Here is a 21,404-nt window from a genome sequence, read left to right on the forward strand (position 1 = left end):
CACTTGGAAGTGTAAGGAAAATAGCAGTTTGTCCCACAGCAGAAGTTTGCAGGCTAGGGGAGGGTGATGGGCTGGACTCACAGCATCCTAGAATGTGAAGGCTGGAAGGAACCTACCAGTGAAGAACTCAGCCCCTTGCAGATGAGGGACTAAGGCTCCAGAAGGAGGAGCTCTGTGAGTGGCTAAGACAGAAATAGAGCCCAGCCCCTCTCTGGTGCTCCAAGCTCTGGAAGGGGCTTCTCCCCAACAGTAGGCTCACTGTCCCTGCAGCTGTCCTGTGAGCTGTTCCAGTTCTCCTGCGACACGTGTGGAAAAGATCTCTGGATACAAAGCCGAAGCCCAAGCTCTCCCGCTGTATTAGTTTCCTATAGCTGCTGTGATAAATTACTATAAACTTAGAAGGTTAAAACAACACAAATTTATGCTTAAAACTCTGGAGGTCAGAAGCCTGAAATGAGTCTTACTGGGCTAAAATCATAGTGTCGGCAGGGCTGCATTCCCTCTGGATGCCTTGGGAAGAATCCATTTCCCTACCTTTCCTGGCTTCTAGAGGATGCTTACATTCCTTGGCTCATGGCCCCTGCCTCCAACTTTAAAGCCAGAAGGATAGAATCTTCAGATCTCTGTTTCCTTCTCCTTGCTTTCCTTCATACCTCTGCTTCCTTCATCACATCTCCTTCTGACTCTGACTTTCCTGCCTCCTTCTTTCACTTATAAGCCCTGTGATTACATTAATGATATGTGATTCCATCAGGCTCGCCAAGATAACCTCCCCACCACAAGATCCTTAACCTTAATCACATCTGCGAAGTCTCTTTTGCCACATAAGGTAACATATTCACAGGTTCCGGAGATTCAGACACTGCCATAACTGGGGAGTCGTACCTCTCACCACAGTTTGGCCTTCAGTGAACCACATTTCTCTATGCCTTACTCTCCCCATCTGAGAAGCAGGACTGTTGGAAGCTCAGCCATCTTCATGGGCATGGTGCATACCCAGGGCTCCTGAGAGGAACCCCTAACACTATGAGCCCCAGGGCAGGCTCAGAGGTAGAAAGAGTTGGGTTCTTTGAGGAAATGAAAGGTGGCCAGGACAATGGACCAGCCTGAGCCAAGAGTGGAGAGCAAGAATGGATTCCATGTCTCCAGCAGCAGGTCAAACATTTGTGGTCTTCTCTTGGCCTCTTGAACACAGTTGATCACTACTATTAGATCCCTTCCTGGTCCAAAGATATGATTTAGCCATGATCACATTATGCAGTCTGCCCCACCTTCTGTGTACCTCAGAATCAATCCTCAGTTGACCTAAATCCTTGTAGAATAATACCAACACCAGGAGTAACTAACATTTGGCCTGTGTTGGCAAAGCAATTTCTACTGACCATTATTGTGCATGATCCTTATAATAATGTAGGATCCTCAGGTCTAGGTAGAATTACCCTCATTTGACTGATGGAGGCCTTGAGGTTCAGAGAGGAAACAAGACTTGTCCTAGTTGACATGACTGCAGAAGCTGAGGTTAGAATAGGCTGCTCCAGAAAATGGAATTTTCAGGGTAACCAAGGGGGTAATTAGAACCTCCTTTATTGTTTGAACCTTTGCAATGAGCAGACTCATTGAAAGGTACTTAAGGACAGGTCTTGGCCCATCGTTATCCTCATTGCACAGTAAGGAAAGGCTAAGACCAGGTCATACAGCTGGCTAGTAGCAAAGGCCCAGCTAGTGTCTTCTGGGGCTTCAGTCTCCTCATCTGGATATTGAAGTGATTGGCCTCACCAGAGAGCACTGGCTCTTGACCCTAGCCACACATTGACATCACCTGGGGAGCTTGTAAAAACACAAAGGCTTCCCTCAAGAGCAGTTACACTGGAGTCTGGGGGTGGGATGCAGGTATCATCATTTTTTAAAGCTCCCAGGTGATGCTTATGTGTGGCCATGGTTGGCAGTCACTGGTGTAGATGCTTTCTGAAGGGCCCTCCATCCTCTCCCATGATTCCTTCCAGAAGTCTCTCTTCTGCTTTTTACTTGGACAGAACCCTAGGAAGTGGCCACTAGAGAAATTCTGGTCATTTTCTGTACAGCTTCCCACCTTCCCACTTGATGGTAGAGTGCCCAGCAAGTGGGCAATCTACAGGCACAGCATGGTGCAAGGATGTTTAAAAGACATGGTTTCAGTGGCAGACCCCACTTTCAGTAATAGCTTATCCACTCACTATGAGCAGATTATTTAACATTTCTGATTTTCAAATATCTCCGTCTGTAAAGGAGACTAATATTAGAGCTTTGTGAGAGCTGGAGATGGTGTCAGTAAAGTAAGTAGCACACACTGGACACTCAGAATTGTTACTAGTATTGCCAAACACAGCAGAAACCAGAACAGGCTGGGCAGAGAGGCCTCTCTCTGGAGGCAAAGCCTCGAGCATCCCAAATGCCTTAGAGCTGATATCCTGCCTATTCCATGCAGCCCCTCAGCCCCGGCCCCTGCTTTGACCGAGGCTGATTTTCATGTGCAAAGCCTTGAGTTCAGTCTCCCATGAAGCACCAAGTCAGAAACACTGTCAGCCTTTCCAAGCGGTAGATTTGTGGCTCCAGCCAAAAAAAACCAGGACCCCCTCAATCTCCAGAAGACAAAGGGGAGCCAATACTAATAACACCTTATTTTCTTATAGTACTGGGTACTTTTAGAAATATTCTAGCTGTATTAATCCATTCTCACACTGCTATAAAGAACTGCCTGAGACTGGGTAATTTATAAAGAAAAGAAGTTCAACTGACTCACAGTTCCACATGGCTGGGGAGGCCTCAAGAAACTTACAGTCATGGCAGAGGGGGAAGCAAACACATCCTTCTTCACAAGGCGGCAGGAGAGAGAAGTGCTGAGCAAAGAGGAAAAAGCCCCTTATAAAACCATCAGATCTCATGAGAACTCACTCACTATCATGAGAACAGCAGCATGGGGGTAACTGCCCCCATGATTCCATTACCTCCCACCAGGTCTCTCCTATGACACCTGGGGATTACGGTAACTACAGTTCAAGATAAGATTTGGGTGGGGACGTAGCCAACCGTATCACTAGCAACGTGGGATAGGAAGTATAGCTATCACTCCATTGTTTAGATGGGGAATAGGGCTCAAAGAGGTTAAATCAGCACTGTCCAATATAATACAAGCTGCATATGTGATATTATTTTCTAAGGTAAAGAGAAACAGGTAAAATTCATCTTAATAATGTATCTTATTTAAACCAGTATACCTCAAATATTATCGTTTTAACATGTAACCAACACTTTAAAATTATTAATGAGTTCTTTCATACTCTTTTCATCCTAAGTCTTGGAAATCTGGTGTGTATCTCACACTCACAGCACATGTCAGTTCATACCAGTCACATTTTAAGTGCAGAGTCATCACCTGTGGCCAGTGGCTTCCTTCCTGGGTAGCACAGGGTTAATGGTTAAACGCTGCATCTCAGGTCACACAGCAGGTTAAGGAAAGCAGAAATGAGAGTGAGGGTTCCGAATTTCTCACGCCCTGTTCTTTGCATGCATCACCTGCTTCTCGAGTGTTCCTGCCTGCCTGGAGGCAGTATATTGTGGTGGCGAGGGGTGTGAACTGTGGCTTAGATTAGAGATTCACATCCCAGCAGTGCTGCTTTTTAGCCATGGGGCCTTGAGCAAGTTCCCTGTCTGCACTCCAGTTTTACATGTGTAAAATGGTGATGATAATGAGGCCTGCCACATGAGGTCGAGGTGAAGAGTAAATTCATTTTATTAATAAATTAGCTCCGTACAGCACCCGGCATATTCAAGCCCTCAGTAAATATTCAGGGGCTCCCCTTTTAAAGGAGTCCTGCCTGTGCTGTAAAGGCTCATCTGCTACTGGAAGGAGGAGCTGCTTGGGCAGCTTTTGGGTTGACTAAGAGCTTATTCGATCAGCCTACTTCCCATGAGCTTGCACTTCCAGGGACCAGGAGGGGGAATGGAGGTTGCTGCTGGAATGTTTGGATTTGAGGGTTTGGAGTTTTCCAGTGCATCCAGACAAGGATGCAGCCACTCTGATAGCTTTTCACACAGCAAACGCTGGTTGGCCCCTACCAGGTGCCAGTCTTGTGCGAGATACCCTGGGGGACGCTGACAGTCAGCAGCATGACGTTTCCTCACTTAGCACGGTGCCAGGCGGACTTCCTGTTCCCGTGGGTACTGCATGATTTGTCGTCTCTGTGTCCTTGCTGACGTTTTATCCTCCCCTCAGTGCCTTTCCCTCTCCCAAATTTCCTCTTGTCCAAACCCACTTAAATGCCACCTCCCCTGAGCCTCATTCCTTGACCCTTGCCCCAGCCATCCTCCTTACCCCAAAAGCTGGAAACAGACACACTCCTTTCAGATTCCTGTAATGCTGTCTCTACCTCCCGGAGTCCCTTATGCACCCTCTGTCTTGAGGGGGCTGCCCCACTACACCAACATCTCCTGAAGGACTCTCATTGACCTCGAGATTCTTCCAGCACCTCCCTCACAACTGGCATGGGATGAACAAACTCATTAGAGAATGAATGAATGGAGTTAATCTTATCTCCCAGTTTAACTGAAAAGACAGAGACAGTGGCTTCTTCTGTAAACACCACAGCAGAACAAACGTCCATGCTGGCCTACTGAGTAATAGTTGTCAAAGGAGCATGTTCAAAAACACAGAGCCCTAGGCTGCCTCCCGCAAGGATTGTTTCAGCAGGTCTGAGGTGGGGCCCAGCGAGCTGTATATTTTTTCATCTCTCTAAGAGATTCTACAACACAGACAGGCTTGGAGAGACCCCCAACTTGGACCATTTAACTAGTGAGAGGACTAACATGTACATATTTATGATGCAGCTACAGGGCCCATGTGGACAAAGTACTGTGATTTCATTTCACAAGTACTCTTAGGTGTTAATTGTGTAAAGGAACTTCGGGTCCCATTTGGTTAAAATGTAGCTCTTATGAAAGGAAGTTGTAGGAAAGAAAGGGGGATGCCTGGAAGGGCCTTGGATTCCCTGGAAGACACTTGGACTGTGTTCAGGGAGCAGCATGGAACACCGCCGCTGGGGGAATGGCATTATCGGGCCACATGAGAGCATGTGGCCAGGACATCTGCACCTTCACACCATGTTCTTCTTCTCTGACAGGTCTCCCGTGATGGCCGGTGGACTGTTCGCCGTGGATCGGAAGTGGTTCTGGGAACTCGGCGGGTATGACCCAGGCTTGGAGATCTGGGGAGGGGAGCAGTATGAAATCTCCTTCAAGGTGAGCCAGCTCTCCAGACGCCCCGTTCTTGGCACAGCCTCCTGAGTGCCTGTCCCAGTAGGTGTCTCAGCTTCTGCCTGAGCTTGGAAAGACTGGAGGCCTCAGGGTTCTGTAGCCCTTCTGCCCATCAGGTGAAGAAGACAGGGGCTCATGGGCCACTCTTTGTTGTGGGGTGGGGGGGTGTGGGAGGGAAGGGGAGTACTCTCCAGCTGCCAAAGGCTGGTCCTCACCACAGCTCTGACTGGCATTTGCCTTGTGTCTTCTTAAGATGTTGGAATAAGGTCTTGCTTCTACTCAGATGGCAGGTCTGAGATTGAGATGTCCAGCAAATAAGCAGTGGGCCAGAGAAGCTAGGAAGGCCAAACAGGATACGTAGGCCTAGAGGAGTCCTCTCAGTCACCCCAAGTTTTCCCTTTGTACCTGTTGCTCTAGGAGTTTGACAAAGACCAGTGAGCATAAGCTCCAGTTGTAAAGTTACAAAGGCCTGGATTCAGATCCCAGCTCCATCATCAGGAGCTATCTGACTTTGGGCAAGTTAGATCACCCCCCCGAGCTTTCTTTCCTCATCTGAAATAAGGGAATAATAATACTACCTAGCTTACAGAGCTATCGTGAAGATTAAATGAGATCATGTCTAGAAAGTGCTTAGCATACAACCTGGGAACATGACCAGCAATTAATAATTGGTAGAAATTGTTAAAGTTTCGGTGAGTAAATATTTACTGTAACCTACTTGACCAGCCTATGGACTCTGGAAGCTTTCTGACAGTAGTGGTAAAGGAGTTACTAGTTAACTAATAACTAATTAAGCACCCAAACTTCCAAGGCTACATTCTCCACTTTATTTGTGGGAGTCTGTCTTGTTCTCAAGTGAAAGCTTGGACCTTCTGAGGGGAGGGTTAGCTTGTCCCATGCCCTTGTGGCCTGTCAGAGTCAGCTTCTAACAGCTTAGACCCCTGGCTAAGGCATATCCCCAGCCCACAAGGGACAGATAGCACCATTACTGATCTGACCCCTGTGAACACACAACTCTGATGCCCCCTCATCGGGCCTCAACTTTCAGTGCAAAGGACCATTGTCAGGCACAGTGAATTAAGGCTTTGGTATTGGTGCCAGAGTGCCACGATCAGATCCTAGCTCTGCCGTGTCCTGCCAGCTGTGTGATCTTGGGCAAGGAATCCTCACCTCACTGAGCCTTGGTTTCTACTTCCATAAAGTGGGTTTAATGAAACGTTAATCCTCACAGAGTTGTTGAGAGGATTAAGTGAGACCATGCTTATTAGGTGCTTCTTAATAAATTATCCTAAAGATTATTATCAATACATTAATATTATTATCTGCAACAGTGGTTGAGTAGTTCAGAACTGGAGAACATAAATTCTTGATTAGCCCAAAAAAAAAAAAAACCTACAATTCTTTTGATGTTATTTAGGTTTGAAAAGCAGTTTATATCCTTTTTTTTTCTTTTCTTTTCTTTTGTTTTTTTTTTTTTGAGATGGAGTTTCACTCTGCTGCCCAGGCTGGAGTGCAGTAGTGCGATCTTGGCTCACTGCAGCCTCCACCTCCTGGGTTCAAGTGATTCTCCTGCCTCAGCCTCCTGAGTAGCTGGGACTACAGGCGCCCACCACCACGCCCAGCTAATGTAGAGATAGGGTTTCGACATGTTGACCAGGCTGGTCTTGACCCCCTGACCTCAGGTGATCCACCCACCTCGGCCTTTCAAAGTGCTGGGATTACAGGTGTGAGCCACTGTGCCTGGCCAGTTTATATCTATTTTAACCACCAGAGTTCTGAAGTTGTCTCCCATAAGGAGACCAGCCCCCTAAATAAAATTAATATTCACATAAGGGTAATGTTCAAAATATGTAACAACTGTGATAACACAAGCACATCCAGTCAGAACAGATACCAGCTATAAACAATGGTGCATCCACTCCAGCGTGTAACAAGTGAAGTTCGGTCCTGATCATAGCTAACAGGACAGTGTGCCAAGCCCTTCATACATGCTGACTTGTTTAATCCTCACAACAACCTTAGGAGAGTTGTATCATTATTATACCCGTTTCACCAGGAAGGCAAGCAAAGCTCAGACCAAGGCCTCGCACAGCCGGAAGAAGCAGAACTGGGGCCCAAACGCAGGTCTGCTTGACTCCAAAGCCCACGCTCTGACCTGCTATTTTTGTTGTTGTTTAAATCATACCCAGACTGTTCTGAAAACCTGCCATGTTTTATGGACCTCTGCCTCACCCTTTCTGGGATTTTTTTTTTTTTTTTGCCTCTTCTGGTATTATTCCTAGTTTACTTGGATATTCTGCAATTTCTTAGTTAATGGAATTAATAACAATCTAAGTCGGAAGTGGCAAATAGGGCCAGGAATGGTGGCCGAGATGGGAGGATCTCTTGAGCCTAGGAGTTTGAGACCAGCCTGGACAACACAACACGACCCCATCTCATTAAAAAAAAAAAAAAAAAGAAGGAAAGAAAGAGAGAGAGAGAAGGAGTGGGGAGGGAGAGAGGGAGGGGGAAAGGGAGAGAGAGAGACAGAGAGAGAGACACAGCAAATAGGTTTCTACTCCCTGCCAGGCCAACTCTGATCCATTGGTAGGGGCTGCCCCAGGTGGGTGTTGATATGCATTCTGAGGCTGCTTCCAAGCTTATCAGCAAAGAGTAGTCAGTGGGGGAGGGATCTTTTTGTGTTTCACTCACCGCCATATCCCAAGTACCTAAAGCCTGGTCCAACACAGAAAAGACACTATGAGACCAATTTTTATGAGTCATAATTTTTATTATTGTATTAAATCTTTTCTAAAATTATATTTATATAAATATCTTATAAATATTCTAAAAATATGTAAAATGTATAAAAGTCTAGTAGTTCTGATATAACACTGTCAGCCATAATTCTGGTTATCATGTTAAAATACTACATATAATAAAATAACTAAATTCAAGACCAGCCTGGCCAACATTGTGAAACCCCATCTTTACTAAAAATACAAAAATTAGCCAGGCGTGGTGGTACATGCCTGTAATTCCAGCTACTCAGGAGGTGGAGACAGGAGAATTGCTTGAAGCTGGGAGGCAGAGGTTGCAGTGAGCCGAGATCGTGCCACTGCACTCTAATCTGGGCGACAAAGCGAGACTCCATGTCAAAAAAAAAAAAAAATCAAAAACCTTTATCAAATTTTAACTGGGATTATTCTATTTTTCTCACTTATTTAGAATTATTATTCTAAATTCTTCTATAAAGGCATTTACAATAAATTCTAGTCCAACATTGCTTTTCATAAAAAAGACTCCAATAAATATAAGTATAAAAAATAATACAATTAAAAGTATACAAATATATATTCCAATTTTATTAAATATCATATTTTTTCCAGTCTACAACAGACTTTATTACTATGAAGTCTGTATTACTGTATAGAATCTATAATATCCTCATAATAATCCTATTAAAATATTGTATTAAATACAAAAAAAAGACACCATCAAAAACCCCCTGCATCCTACTAATGAGAACTAAACTCAGTCCAAAACATATTTTCCAAGAAAAGGCTAAAAAACACACTAGGTCTGATACAACTACAACTAAAAATTACCAACCTTCCTAAACAAGAGCCCTTCTAACTACAGATGGCAATCAACATTAATTCTTACCAACACAACCAAACAATTTATGACCAAAAACTTCGTGAAACAAAGTGGCAAATGTAAGAGGCCGTGTTTGCCCATTTCCCTTTGCTGGGAGAATTTCACAAAGCCCCTGACTCCGGGACACTGTGCAGCTCTCTGGAAAAATGTTTTAAAGGCAAAACAGGATAGAACGCATGGCCCCCCATGTCTCTCGCCTGAGTCACTAATTCCATCAAAGATAAATGACCCTAGTCCTCGCCTTTCTCTACTCATAAAATAACACCCGACAAGAATAGTGACTATGTTTCTGTAATCTATAACCAGATGTACTCTAACACCCAAACCTTGATGTAATTTTTCACATACTAAATCTTCACCACCTATGTATAAACTAAAATACTACGTTGGAGGAGTCTGAGAGAACCTTTCTAAAAGCCTCCTCCCAGGCTACAGGCCTTGGTCTATAATCCTCAAGAAGACTTCTAAATAAAACTAACTTTAATTCTTTAAAAGCTTCGTTTTTTTTCTTTAGTTGACAGCAGTTAACAAATATTGGCTGAATACTCCAAGTAAGTGTGTCCCTGGCCAGAATCAGCCTCCAAGCTCCTAACTGGCTCCTTGCTCTAGAAGACCCTCTTCAGAACCCCCACCATGGAGAACAGTGAATGGAGAAAGATTTGCACAAAGGAATTTCTAAACCAGCCCAAAATGATTTCATTCTATGTGTTTCAAAGACCCATCTACTGATGCTCATCAGGCAATTATGGCAGAACAAATGGCATTTTTCTCCACAGTTATTTACAATAGACTTGGTAATGAAGCCATATTGGAAGTATCTCATCCGGGAGGGGGAAGGAGGCTGGCTTACATTTCCATTTGATCCAATTATGTCCGTCACTCTCCAGAGGAAATGAGACAGTGTAATGAGGAGGCTCCTGAGGTCCGGAAGGGAGACTTTTCTCCCTGGGCTTTCTCTCTCCTGGCTTGGAAAAGGAGAGTTTCTGGAGCCAGCAACAGCCCATCTGCCAGTGCACTGTCTCCCAGGACCCTGTGGAAAGACTGCCTGCAGGGCTGAGGGGAACAGGTGAGCCCATTCATCCCTGGCAGCGCCCTGCTGGAATGCAGGTGTTCTCTTTCAGCCAGAGCTGGCATTTACGAAGGACCGAATTCCCTCTGATTCATCTCTGCTAAGATCCCTTTTCTTGGTGACAGAGAGAAGCCTGGTCTGAAAGGCATGAGTGTATTTTCAGAAATTAAGATCAATCAACACGTACCTTCAGGGCTGAGGGCTGATTCCAGACCGGATTCTCTATCCTGATGAGAAAATCCCCAAAAAGTGTCCCAACAGCTCTGAAATTTCTAGAAAAGTCATTGACTTTCCCTTTCCCTCCCTCCTTCTCTGTCTGTCTCTCTCAGCAGAGCAAAGTTCTCACGTGGAAGTCAGAATCTTCCTAGTTCTAGTGGTTGGACAAGTCTTTAACTCCATAGCCTAGCTCCAGCTAGGTTCATGAGCTGGCCCTACTGCTCTCTCCTTTCCCCTTTTCCTCTTATCCCATTGCATTAGTCTGGATTCTTGCTTACAGATAACCAAAACCTTAGTCAATCTGATTTAAGCAAAAACCAGAATTGATAGGCTCACATAACTGAAATTCCAGGGTAGACCCTAAGGCCGGGCTGGATGCAGGGACTCAGTCATCTCACTCGGGCTAGGTCTCTCTCAATGCCTAGTCCCTATTTCATCTGAGTTGGCTTCCCTCTCAGGTGGGCTTTTTCTCATGGAGATCCTCAGCAGCCCATGGAAGGAGAGTGTTTTTCCCATCATCTTGTACAAGTCCCCAGGTTGAGTCTCATTGGCCTGCTGGCCCCATGCCCATCCCTGAACAATACTGCAATTGGTCACCTGCAGTCACATGCCCTGTGACTGCAGGAAGGTGGGGATGGGCTAGTTACCCAAAGGAAAGTCCAGGTGCTGTGCCCAGAAGGGAGAATGGATGTGGGGCAGAGCAAACCGTAGATGTCTACCTTACCCAGCCAGACAAGACTGCATGTAAGAACCAGGCTTACGGGCCAGCCCCTCTCTGCAGGCCCACACTGTACACTCCTGAAATGCCATTCCTTAGTCTGGCCAACCCTCATTCACCCTTCCAATCTCAGCTTATATAGATGGCTCCCCATGCTGCCTAGGAACTACCCCACATTGCACTCCCATCTCTGCATGCTCCCTGGAGGCAGGGAGGAGGTTTTGTCCACCTCTATATCCCCAGTCTCTGGCCCACATCAGTGTTTTCAGTAAGTGTTAGTGTGTTAGTGGCATCACTTCCAACTGATATACCTCCTTGGTACTACCCTTCCCAGACTTAGGAGGCCATCTTTGGACAATGGTGTATGGTGGGAAAGTGCTCAGCAAGGAGGCTCTCCTTCCATCCTAGGACCCTGGGCCAGTTGTTTCACCTCTGGTCCTCATACCCCAGACTGTGCTGATACGGTTTTCCTTCCTACCCCACAAGATAGGATCAAATGAGATGCTGTGTGGACAGCCCTCTGACATACACAGATATGAGGGGTTGTTTGGATTAGGGGGGGAGGCAGCAGGATGAGCAGAAAGGAAACTGCACAGTGTCCCCAGGAGGCCATGGTTAGGATATCTCCAACTATGAGATACGGGAGACAGAAAGTATCCAACCAGGACAATGTGACCAAACTAAAGTGAGAAAAATGTAGGCTTTGGGGCAGTGTAAGTGGGTATATCTTCTGTGAATAGCAATTTGGCAAAATCCATTACATTTCAGAGCAAGCACATTCTTTGACCTGAAATTCCATGCCCAGGAGTTTATATAAGAGAGACAGTGATGAGCAAAGATTTATTTGCTGAAGTGTTACTTACCATAGCAGAAGATTGAAAATGACCCAAATGCACGTCCTTTGGGGATAAATAAGTTAGAGCATATCTAAACAAGAAAATATTACGTAAAATAAATTGGAGGTCTCCACAAAAAAAAAAAAAAAAAAAAACCCATTTTTTTTCAGACAGGATCTCACACCGTTGCCCAGGCTGGAGGGCAGTGACGTGATCAGAGCTCACTGCAGCTTCAACACCCCAGGGCTCGAGCAGTTGTCCCACTTCAGCCTCCCAAATAGCTGGGACTACAGGTCTACACCACCACTCCCGGCTAATTTTTTAATATTTTGTAATGACAGGGTCTCCATATGTTGCCCAGGCTGGTCTCAAACTCCTGGCCTCAAGCAGTCTTCCTGCCTCGGGCTCCCAACATGCTGGCATTACAGGTATGAGCCACCGCGCCCAGCCCATCTCACTTCTGAAAATGACTCAGTGCCATGAACCCTTCATCCCTAGTGGCCTTTGGGGGTGGGAGGTCTTCAAAGTACAGCCGTCTCTTTCTACCTAATGTGTGTCTGCAACATCGAACTTGTTCATCATAAGTACGTATTACTTCTGTAACCAGGAAAAGTTACAAGAAGAAGGGGCCAGGCACAGTGGCTCATGCCCGTAATTCTCACATTTTGGGAGGTCGAGGCAGGAGTATTGCTTGAGCCCAAAAGTTCAAGACCAGCTTTGGGCAACACAGTGAGACCTCATCTCTAAAAAAAAGTTCTTTTAATTAGCTGGGCATGGTGGTGTGCTGCGTGCCTGTAGTCCCAGCTACTTGGAAGGCTAAGGTAGGAGGAGGATTCCTTTAGCCTGGAGGTCAAGGCTGCAATAAGCCATGTTCATGACACTGCACTCCAGCCTGGGTGATAGAGTGAGAACTTGTCTCAAAGGAAAGAAAAAAAAAATAAGAAAATGTTGGGTTCTCAGCACTTCCAGCCCACCCCCATCCATATACATTCCAGCACATTGTTGGGGCCATTTGCAAGCTCTGAGATGAGATTCTGCACAAGTCAGCAGTGCAGAGACTCCCAGGGAAGGCCTGAGGCCGCCAAGAGCAACTCTGCAGGGTCTGCTCCAAGAGGCAGAGGTGGGCCCCACCGTCCTTGGCAAAATGGAGATTGGTCTGAGGGTTCCATGAGGCAGGCTTGCAGGAGCAAGGGAGTGATAGAAAGCCATGTGAGGGGACGAGAGGGAGGACACCCTCCCCTGCAGAAGTCAGGAAGGTCTTTGAGCTTGTTCTGAGAGGAAAACCCATTCTCTGGGTAGAGGAATGAAGACTCAGAGGAGACTGGGGTTCGCTTTGTGTGATACTGATATGGTTACTGAAAGGCTAGCCCAGTCCCAGGCTACGTGAACAGACTTAAAAAAAAAAAAAAAAAAACTCTGATTTTTTTTTTCCCATAAAACTCAGTGTTATCAAGAAGACTAAGTGAAACAGGACGTGTGAAAAGAAGGCAGGACACACCCAGAAGCTGAGCAAGGGTGATATTGCAACCTGGCCCAGAGCGGTTAGGTGACTGGGCAGGGTCCCTCCACCGGAAGGTGGCAGTGCCAAGGCTAAATCCCAGATGCCCTGGCTCCAAGCCCAGTGCTCATCTCATTCCGCCTGGTGGTAGGAGTAGAGAAAAGGTGTATCCAGTCTAAAGAGAGGCCCGTGTTCCAGGAAGGGCCCAGAGGTCAGGACCAGCCCTGAGAGGGGTTAAGTTGCCACACAGGAGGGAGAAATGATTGCCAAAGGCCAGCCCAAGCACCAGAAGGATATCCAGGGCCACCATCAGGCAACTATATGGCAATACATTTCCCCATCCTTTTCCCTGCCCCTACCAGCACCCTCTGCCTCGGACAGCTGCAGCATGGCTGCCAGGAACCTGGTCCTCATTTCTTCCTTTCCCTGTGTTATCCAAGGATGATGGAAATATGCTCTGATACATGCAGCATTTTCGTCCTGGGGCCACATATGCCCAGCCTTTGCAAGAGCCGTCTGCTAGAAACAGGGAAGGCATTCTGCTCATGACTCTCGGCAAGTCATTTGAAATTCCATGAGTGTCCCTGCCTGTGGAGCCTGCTTCTCCCACCACTCCTCCAAGGAGACGGCTCAAAGGCCCGAGGGTCGCCTGTGTGTATGTTACTCCCTAACCAGCACACACCTACCTCATGGTGCCTTGGCTCTTTCATCCCTAAAAGTGGTAATAAAATAACTTCTTCAAAAGTTTGTTGTAAGAACTAAATGGGATGATATGTATATTTGGCCTAGAGCTAACCAAAGAGGAGGCACTCAATAAGTGGCAGCTGTTCTGATCATAACCCTCAGGTAAGGAGGCAGAACAGCACAGTATTACACAGATGGGCTTCAGCATCAAACTGCCTGGGTTCTAGTGCAAATTCAATGAGCTAGCTGCTGTGTGACTTTGGGAAAGTGACTTAACCTCTCCTCTTTATATTATTTAGGGGATGGAATAATCTTTACTTCATAGTGCAGTCGTGAGCATGATATGAGCCAAAATATATTAAAAGCTTAGCTCAGTGCCTGGAACATAATAAATGTTCGCTAAATGATAGCTGTTAATGTCAGCATGGTTGTGGTTATTGTGATCGGGCTGTGGTTGCAGGAAGACAAGAGTGGAAAGAGGCTGGCAAGACAGGTCAAAAGGCCTTGGCTCTAGGCCCTGTTCTGGAACAAACTCTCTGTGAGATCTTGGACTCATCTGCCCTTTCTCCTGAACTTTTATTTCGCCATCTACAGAGGGGCACCAATCATCCCAAATTCACAGGGCTGTTAGGAAATATAGTGTGAACTGGCAGGCACAGTCACCTGAGACGCTGTCACCATTCCAGTACGCGGTGGCTCCCAAGGTGTGAACCCTGGACGAGCAGCATTAGCATCACCGGGGAACTTATTAGAAATGCAAATTACCAGGCTCCACCCCAGGCTGCTGAGTCAGAGGCTGCCGTGGAGCCCAGCCAGCTGTGTTTCAACATGCCCTGCAGGTGCTTCCGATGAGGCCCAAGGTTGAAAATCGCAGCTGTAATGAATAGGTGGGAGGTTGTGCAGAGAGGATGCTCAGGCGTGGGTGTGGAAGGACAGAGTAAATGGGCAGGTTGGTTGGCAGGTTGGCCAACAAGTTCCAATACCTTCACCCGGCTTTCAAGGCTCTGTATCTTTGGTCCACCCTTGGCAGTTCGTTTCTGTTCCATTTTTTCCAGCATGGTTTTTAGAACAAACCTGACCAATGACCAGATCATGTATGAATGAATGAATGAATGAATGAATGAATTAGGTAATTAATGTTTGTTTGGGGTTTCAACAGTCACAGAAAGAAAAATTCACAAGCCCCCAGGGCAGAAAAGTGAATGCATTGCGGCCAGTTGTCAGCAGCATCCACATAGGGAGTCCAGCGGGTATGGAGAGGGTAGGAGGTGATAGGTGGGAGCAGGTGGCAGAGGGCCTGATTGCAAGCCAAGGGTGACCCCTTTGTTCTGCAGACAATACAAGTGCTGTTAGGGATCTTTGAGGAAGACCATGATAGGGTGGGTCCAGACCTTAGGAAAACACAGTCTCTGTGGAACTCTCAGATCTGCCTAGTTCTGACCCAACCCCAGGTTCCATTTTGGGTTCTGCCATTTATGCACTGGGCAACCCTGGGGAAAGTGTTAATTAAACCTCGGTTTCCTCATGTGTAAAGGGTGTGATCATGCCTCCCTCGCTGGGTTGCTGTGAGATTGCTGTATTTCCAAATCTGAGTCAAAACCTAATGTAAAGTAACCATCTCGCCCTTGTTGGGGAAGTAACTAACTATAAACACTTAAGGATATTGTTGAGATAGTCCTATGTTTAATTTATTAATTTAGATGCACATATGCTTAAAACTGTATCATATAAAAATACTAGGCTGGGCGCGGTGGCTCACACCTGTAATTCCAGCATTTGGGGAGGCCAAGGAGGGTGGATCACTAGAGGTCAGGAGTTCGAGACCAGCCTGACCAACATGGGGAAAACCTGTCTCTACTAAAAATACAAAAATCAGCTGGGCATGGTGGTGGGCACCTGTAATCCCAGCTACTCGGGAGGCTGAGGCAGGAGAATCACTTGAACCTGGGAGCCGGAGGTTGCAGTGAACCGAGATTGTGCCATTGTACTCCATCCTGGGCAACAGAGCAAGACTCCGTCTCAAAAAAAAAAAAAATACAGCTTAAATTTAGAAGTAAATTTAAAACTAAAGTTGTTCTTTTCTACTTTTTTTTTTTTTTTTACCAGCTGCATCCAGTAAACATCCAAAACCAGCATGACTGAGGTTGTCCTTTCATGGTGGTGATACTTCTTGAAACAATATCTTGTTGAAAACAAACTAATACATTCAAAATAATATGAGTTTCTTTTCAGCCGGGAATTGTGTAGCATTCATGCAACGCCCTCCACCAGTAGCGATGGGCCACGTGCCCACAGGACACCATATGGATAGCTCACGGTGTCCTCTGAGCTTCTACATTACCTCATTTTAGCCTCACCACAACCCTAAGGAGGTAGGCACAGTAATTTTTCCCATTTTGCAGAGGAGGAAACTGAGGCTTTCAGACTTATAAAACTTGCTTAACAGCCTGTGTGGGACCTCAATTCTAATTCCAGAACCAAGCTCCTAACTGCTACCCTATGTGCCTCCTAAGCACACAGTGAATGCTGAATGATTGGTGGCAATTATTAGTATAGTCTTTCCCCCAAATGCAACTGATTAGGGTTTGAACTTCATAGGGGTCCTCAGCTGAGATGCCAACGGCAAAAGCCGTGGCCAGCTGCCAGTCTTTTCCTTATCTCTGGGCAGGTCGGGTGCCGTGCCATTCCTGGCTAGCTTCCAGGCAGCCATTTCCTCAACAGAGAGAAGCTCTGCCCCAGCCCCTGCCCTCTCGGGTTCCCCTCCATGGACAATCCCTTCCACTGCGCCCTTCTTTCTGGGTCCCATTGTGTTTTCCCAATGCACATCACCACTCGTTTCTTTCCCCCTCAGTTTAGGAGATAAGAGCGGGTAATTGTCTTTTATAGGCACTGTAATGAAGCCTGTCATCACACAAAAGAAGTTTGCTAATAAAATAAATCAAAGCAGCAATGAAAATGAATGGGGAACAGGCTTTCACAATTAGATTTGTACTTGTCTAGAGGCATGGTGCTTCTATGAGAAGACTGCCACAGGGGCAGTGAAAGGGTCCTGGAAACAAGCTAGCAGGATATGTTTGGGAACTCCTGTGCTGGGAACTCCTGCGGTGGAGCAGCAAGGGACCCAGAGCAGACAGCTGCATCCCCCTACAGGGGTGGGAGTTGAAGGGACAGGGCAGGGAGAAAGCTGACAGCAACACAAGGAGAGGAACTGCAAAATGTCATCTCAGTGGCCTGTATTTGTCTGCATCTCGAACAAGATGGGTTCCTGGTCAAAGATGATCCAGCTGCTGCCATCCCTGGAGCTCCCCTTCTCTTTGTCCCCAGCTGGACTCTGCTCCTGCCTCTTGGGTGAGAGGACAGTGCTCTTGGGTGGCCAGGCCCCAAATGGTATACAGGGACCCTGCCCCACCCCACCTGCCCCAACAGAGTATGTCTGGGCTGGGGATGGAGATAGCAGGAAGTAGTGGGGGACAAAGGACCTTTTAGGAGCCAGGTGGAAGAGCAGCCCTTCTACAGCCCCTGAACTAATCAAGACATGAAGCCCAATCCCCACAACCACATGGAGCAGTTCCAACTGAAAAGAGCACTTTTGCACAGAATCTGGGTTGCAGATGTCCCCATTCCTGCCCCCTGTTCCACAAATGAGAGAATATGGTAGCGAGATTCATAATAATATCATTCTCTTGGTCACTTGCAGGTTTTGCCACCAAGTTAGTTAAGAAAAAATACTTCCTCTCTTTGCACTTCAGTCTCTCCATTTGGGAAATCAGGCCATAGGGTGAAAAAACTTGATGTTGTTTGGCAGAGGGCAGGCGCTCTGTAATTTCAGGGTGGTGGTGTTTCTCGTCCTTCTGCAAGTAGAAATGACTAACATTCATCTGGTTCTCTAAGAGCCAGGTACCAAGCTAAGAGCTTTTCACACACTGTCTTGTGCCATCTCAACAGCCATCATCATCCCCACATCACAGTTGAGGAGAGTGAGGCTCCCAGGTTCAATGACCTGCAGGAGGTCACATAGCAGGCATTGGTGGTATGAGGACTGGTATGAGGGGAGTCAGGCTGCAGTGTCTGCAGTGTCTGTCTGGGTCTTGGATGGTCACTACCTCTGCTGTGAAGAAAGGGAGGAGCCTAAAGATACAAAGGACAAGTGACCTGGGCCATGAGCAGAACCACAGGGCCTGGGATCTGTGGCCAGCACCACCCCCCTAGCCCGTCCTTGGAAGGAGAGTCCCCTCCTGTCTTGGGATCCTGTCTCTCCGTGGCAGAGTTGAGAGCTGTTTGTCACAAGAGGGAGGTGAGCAAGCCAGGAGCATGACGGCGATGCTCTCTCTGGCCTCCTACATCTGTTCCACTTCACCCCAGACAAACCCAGCCAGGATCCAGCCCGAAAGAGATGGCAATGGTGCCTTCTGCCCGAGAAACAAGGAAACCTCGGGCTCCCTGCTCATGGCTTATATTGTTGCTAGGATTACTGGAAGCAAAAAAGACAGTTCATCCCTGGAGCCAGTGACTGAAGAATGGATGACAAAATGAGGTCATCTTTCTCTCTAGTCAAGTCCCTATGCTCAAGACTTTGAATCAGTCTTGATTCACCTCCTCTTTCATGACCGAGTGCCTCTTACGGGCAGAGCACTGTGCTAGGCACTGGGGGTCCAATGGCAAATACAACAGATGAGACTCCTGCCAACACTGGCCCTGAGTCTGGCAGGGCACAGAGGGGTTGGTAAGGACTCTTAATGTTAAAAGTGACAGAAAGGCTGGGTGCAATGGCTCATGCCTGTATTCCTAGCACTTTGGGAGGTCAAGGTGGGAGGACTGCTTGAGCCCAGGAGTTCAAGACCAGTGTGGGCAACACAGGGAGACCCCCATGTCTACAAAAAAAAATAGCCAGGTATGGTGGCACACACCTGTGGCCCCAGCTACTTGGGAGGCTGAGGCAGGAGGGTCACTTAAGCCCATGAGGTCAAGGCTTCAGTAAGCAGTGATTGTGATACTGTTCTCTAGCCTGTGTGACAGAGGGAGACCCTGTCTCGAAAAGAAATAAATATAAAAGTGACAAAATCATCTTAAACTAGCCGTAGCCGAGAAAAGCCATGGCGGGGGCGGGGGTGAGGGGCTGTCTTCAACAGGCCTGCTTCCAGGTGCTCAAACAGGTGTCTCTTTCCCTCTCTTGGGACTGCCCTGCTGGGTGCTCGCTGCATTCACGGACAGGCCCTCCCTTACTGTGTGGTGCAGAGGTGATCACTGGCAGCTGCAGTGTGTTGTCCACTTTGTTCTTCCCCCCAGAGAAAGTGTGTGGCCATCACATCAAGCACCAGCATGTGTGGCGACCATTAAATATATACCCCATTACCCTGCCCTACACCAGCTCCAGAGCCCAGGAGGTTGGGTGCTCCAGCTGGCCATCCTGGGTCACAGGCCCCAGGTGGAGCAGTTGGAAGGACAGTCCCCAATAGGGAGAAGGTGCACTGGACAGGCAAAAACAACAGATGCCCATTGCAGGGAGATTAGACCAGGGACATAATCCTGTGAATAATTAATATTTCACTTCTGGTAAAAGGCAATGAAGCAAGATGCTGTGTGTAGGTATAAAAGGGTGAGAAGCCCCTGAGGAGGTGGCTCTTAAGGGGACCTGAAGGATGAGTATGAGGTAGCCAGGCAGAGGGAGGAGTCTATGAGGGGAGTCAATGGGTGTGGTGAGCAAGAAGTGAGTGGAATGAGGTGAGGGTGGAGGGCTGCACGGGGCTCTTGGTCAGGCCAGAGGACATTCTGAAGTGATGGGCGTGGCCTGCACTGGGATGCTCTCAAAGGACCCAGGAGTGAAGCAGCTTCATCTGAGCAGATGTCTGTCTTCCTGAGGGTAGTTCACATTCAGAGTCGGCCACCAGGGCATCCTGTGCTGGGCAGGGAAGCCATGGAGTAAACCCACTGACCAAACCCTCCAGACATCCCAGGAATCTGAGGGCATCCTGGATGCCTCAAGCCTCCCGACATATCAGGGTCACCCTGGTCCCTCAGGAACCTTCAGGCTGATGGCCAGCATGATTGGGGCCAAAGAAACCAGAGGTCACAGCAAAGAGAAGGATTTGGAAATTTATCATCCACCTGCATAAAGTTAGGTGCCTCTGCCAAGCAGAGCTGGACACAGAGCCTCATTAGCTAATGCAAGTTTAATATGAAGACAAGGAAGCTGGATGCCGACCTGATCAACTGCCCGGGAGACGTTCAGAAATAGAGCAGGGTAAGGTGTCCCACCTGCTCAGGGCCACTGCACCACCTGAAAGGCAGAGGGCAGCCCAGCAGCGACCTGGGCAATACCCGCCAGGCAAAAGCATCACTTCCACATCAATCACTTTGTATAAAGGAAGAGTTATTGTTATGGGATGCTGGCGCCTGATCAATATCTCCTGCTTTGAAAATAAACTTCTTGGTTTGGCCTTGACATTAATCTACCATCAGGAGCCCATTATCTCGAGACCAATGTTCTGTTCTATTGACTGGCTGGATTTTTTTTTCTCCCCCAAGATCAGAATATAATTGCATTTCTCCAGGCAGCACTTCCAATAATTGCAGCCCTGTGCACATCCCCTCTCGGGAGGGCCAGAGTACATCAGGGCTGGGGATGGAGACAGCAGGAAGTAGTGGGGGACAAAGGACCTTTTAGGAGCCAGGTGGAAGAGCAAGCCCTTCTAGAGCCCCTGAATTAATCAAGATGTGAAGCCCAATCCCCACGACCTCATCGAGCAGTTCCAACTGAAAAGAGCACTTTTGCACAGAATCTGGTTTGCAGATGTCCCCATTCCTGCCCCCCATTCCACAAATGAGAGACTATGGTAGCGAGATTCATAATAATGTCCTGAATCCAGCTGTGTCCCCCCATCGCCTCAGCACCCCTCACCCAGGGTCAGGACGGTCTCATATCAGGACGACTGCAAGAGCCTCCCGGGCCTACTCTCCCTGAGGCCTGCCCCATCAGGCTGTTCTCCACCCCACTGGCAGAGTCATCTTTGTAAGATGTAAGTGGATTGTGTGTCTCCCTCACTGAAGACCTTCTGTGAAGACTCCTTGTTCTGCCCCGTGAGGGCCCTGCGGGAGCCCTGCCCGCGTCTCTGGCCTCCCCTCCCATCCCTCTTCCCCTTTCTCCCTCTGCTCCTGCCCTGGCTTTCTTTTTGATTATGCCAAGCTTGGCCCTGCCCTGGTGCCTTTGCACTTGCTCTTCTCCCACCCGTTCCCTTGCCTTTACTTTCACCTTCTTGGTTCCACCTCAAACATCCCTTCCGAAGTGAGGCTTTCCCTGACTGGGGAGCATAAAGTAGCATCTCTCACATCCCATACACCCCTACAACGAATCTATGCAATGGCCCTGCTCTGCCATCGCCACCTGAAACCATCTCCCATGTTAGTTACCTATGCCAGGAAAAATTACCCCCAGAATCCATCTTAACACAATACACA

General features: G+C 47.6%; 1 protein-coding gene and 1 long non-coding RNA gene across 2 annotated transcripts in view, besides 2 other annotated features; one reads left to right on the top strand and one right to left on the bottom strand.

Moving 5' to 3' along the window:
* Window positions 1-21,404, top strand: part of GALNT10 (polypeptide N-acetylgalactosaminyltransferase 10) — a 230,252-nt gene that overhangs the window by 190,424 nt on the left and 18,424 nt on the right. The window contains exon 7 of the mRNA NM_198321.4: window positions 5,157-5,274. Coding sequence (NP_938080.1) covers window positions 5,157-5,274 — 118 coding nt within the window. The remainder of the gene's footprint in view (window positions 1-5,156; window positions 5,275-21,404) is intronic.
* Window positions 3,699-3,848: an enhancer, noted in NCBI's record as "active region_23476". NCBI's record gives its function as "activates an Ori minimal core promoter by ATAC-STARR-seq in GM12878 lymphoblastoid cells {active_cell/tissue: GM12878}" and the evidence as "EXISTENCE:reporter gene assay evidence [ECO:0000049][PMID:35858748]".
* SAP30L-AS1 (SAP30L and GALNT10 antisense RNA 1) overlaps window positions 8,613-21,404 on the bottom strand; it is a 56,054-nt gene continuing 43,262 nt past the window's right edge. The window contains exon 3 of the long non-coding RNA NR_037897.1: window positions 8,613-11,858. This is a non-coding gene — a long non-coding RNA (SAP30L and GALNT10 antisense RNA 1). The remainder of the gene's footprint in view (window positions 11,859-21,404) is intronic.
* Window positions 14,551-15,271: an enhancer, noted in NCBI's record as "H3K4me1 hESC enhancer chr5:153775267-153775987 (GRCh37/hg19 assembly coordinates)". NCBI's record gives its function as "activates a minimal SCP1, AML or CMV promoter by ChIP-STARR-seq in primed H9 embryonic stem cells {active_cell/tissue: H9 hESC(primed)}" and the evidence as "EXISTENCE:reporter gene assay evidence [ECO:0000049][PMID:30033119]".

The sequence above is a fragment of the Homo sapiens genome, chromosome 5 (assembly GCF_000001405.40).
Source record: "Homo sapiens chromosome 5, GRCh38.p14 Primary Assembly".
NCBI classification, from domain to species: Eukaryota; Metazoa; Chordata; class Mammalia; order Primates; family Hominidae; genus Homo; species Homo sapiens.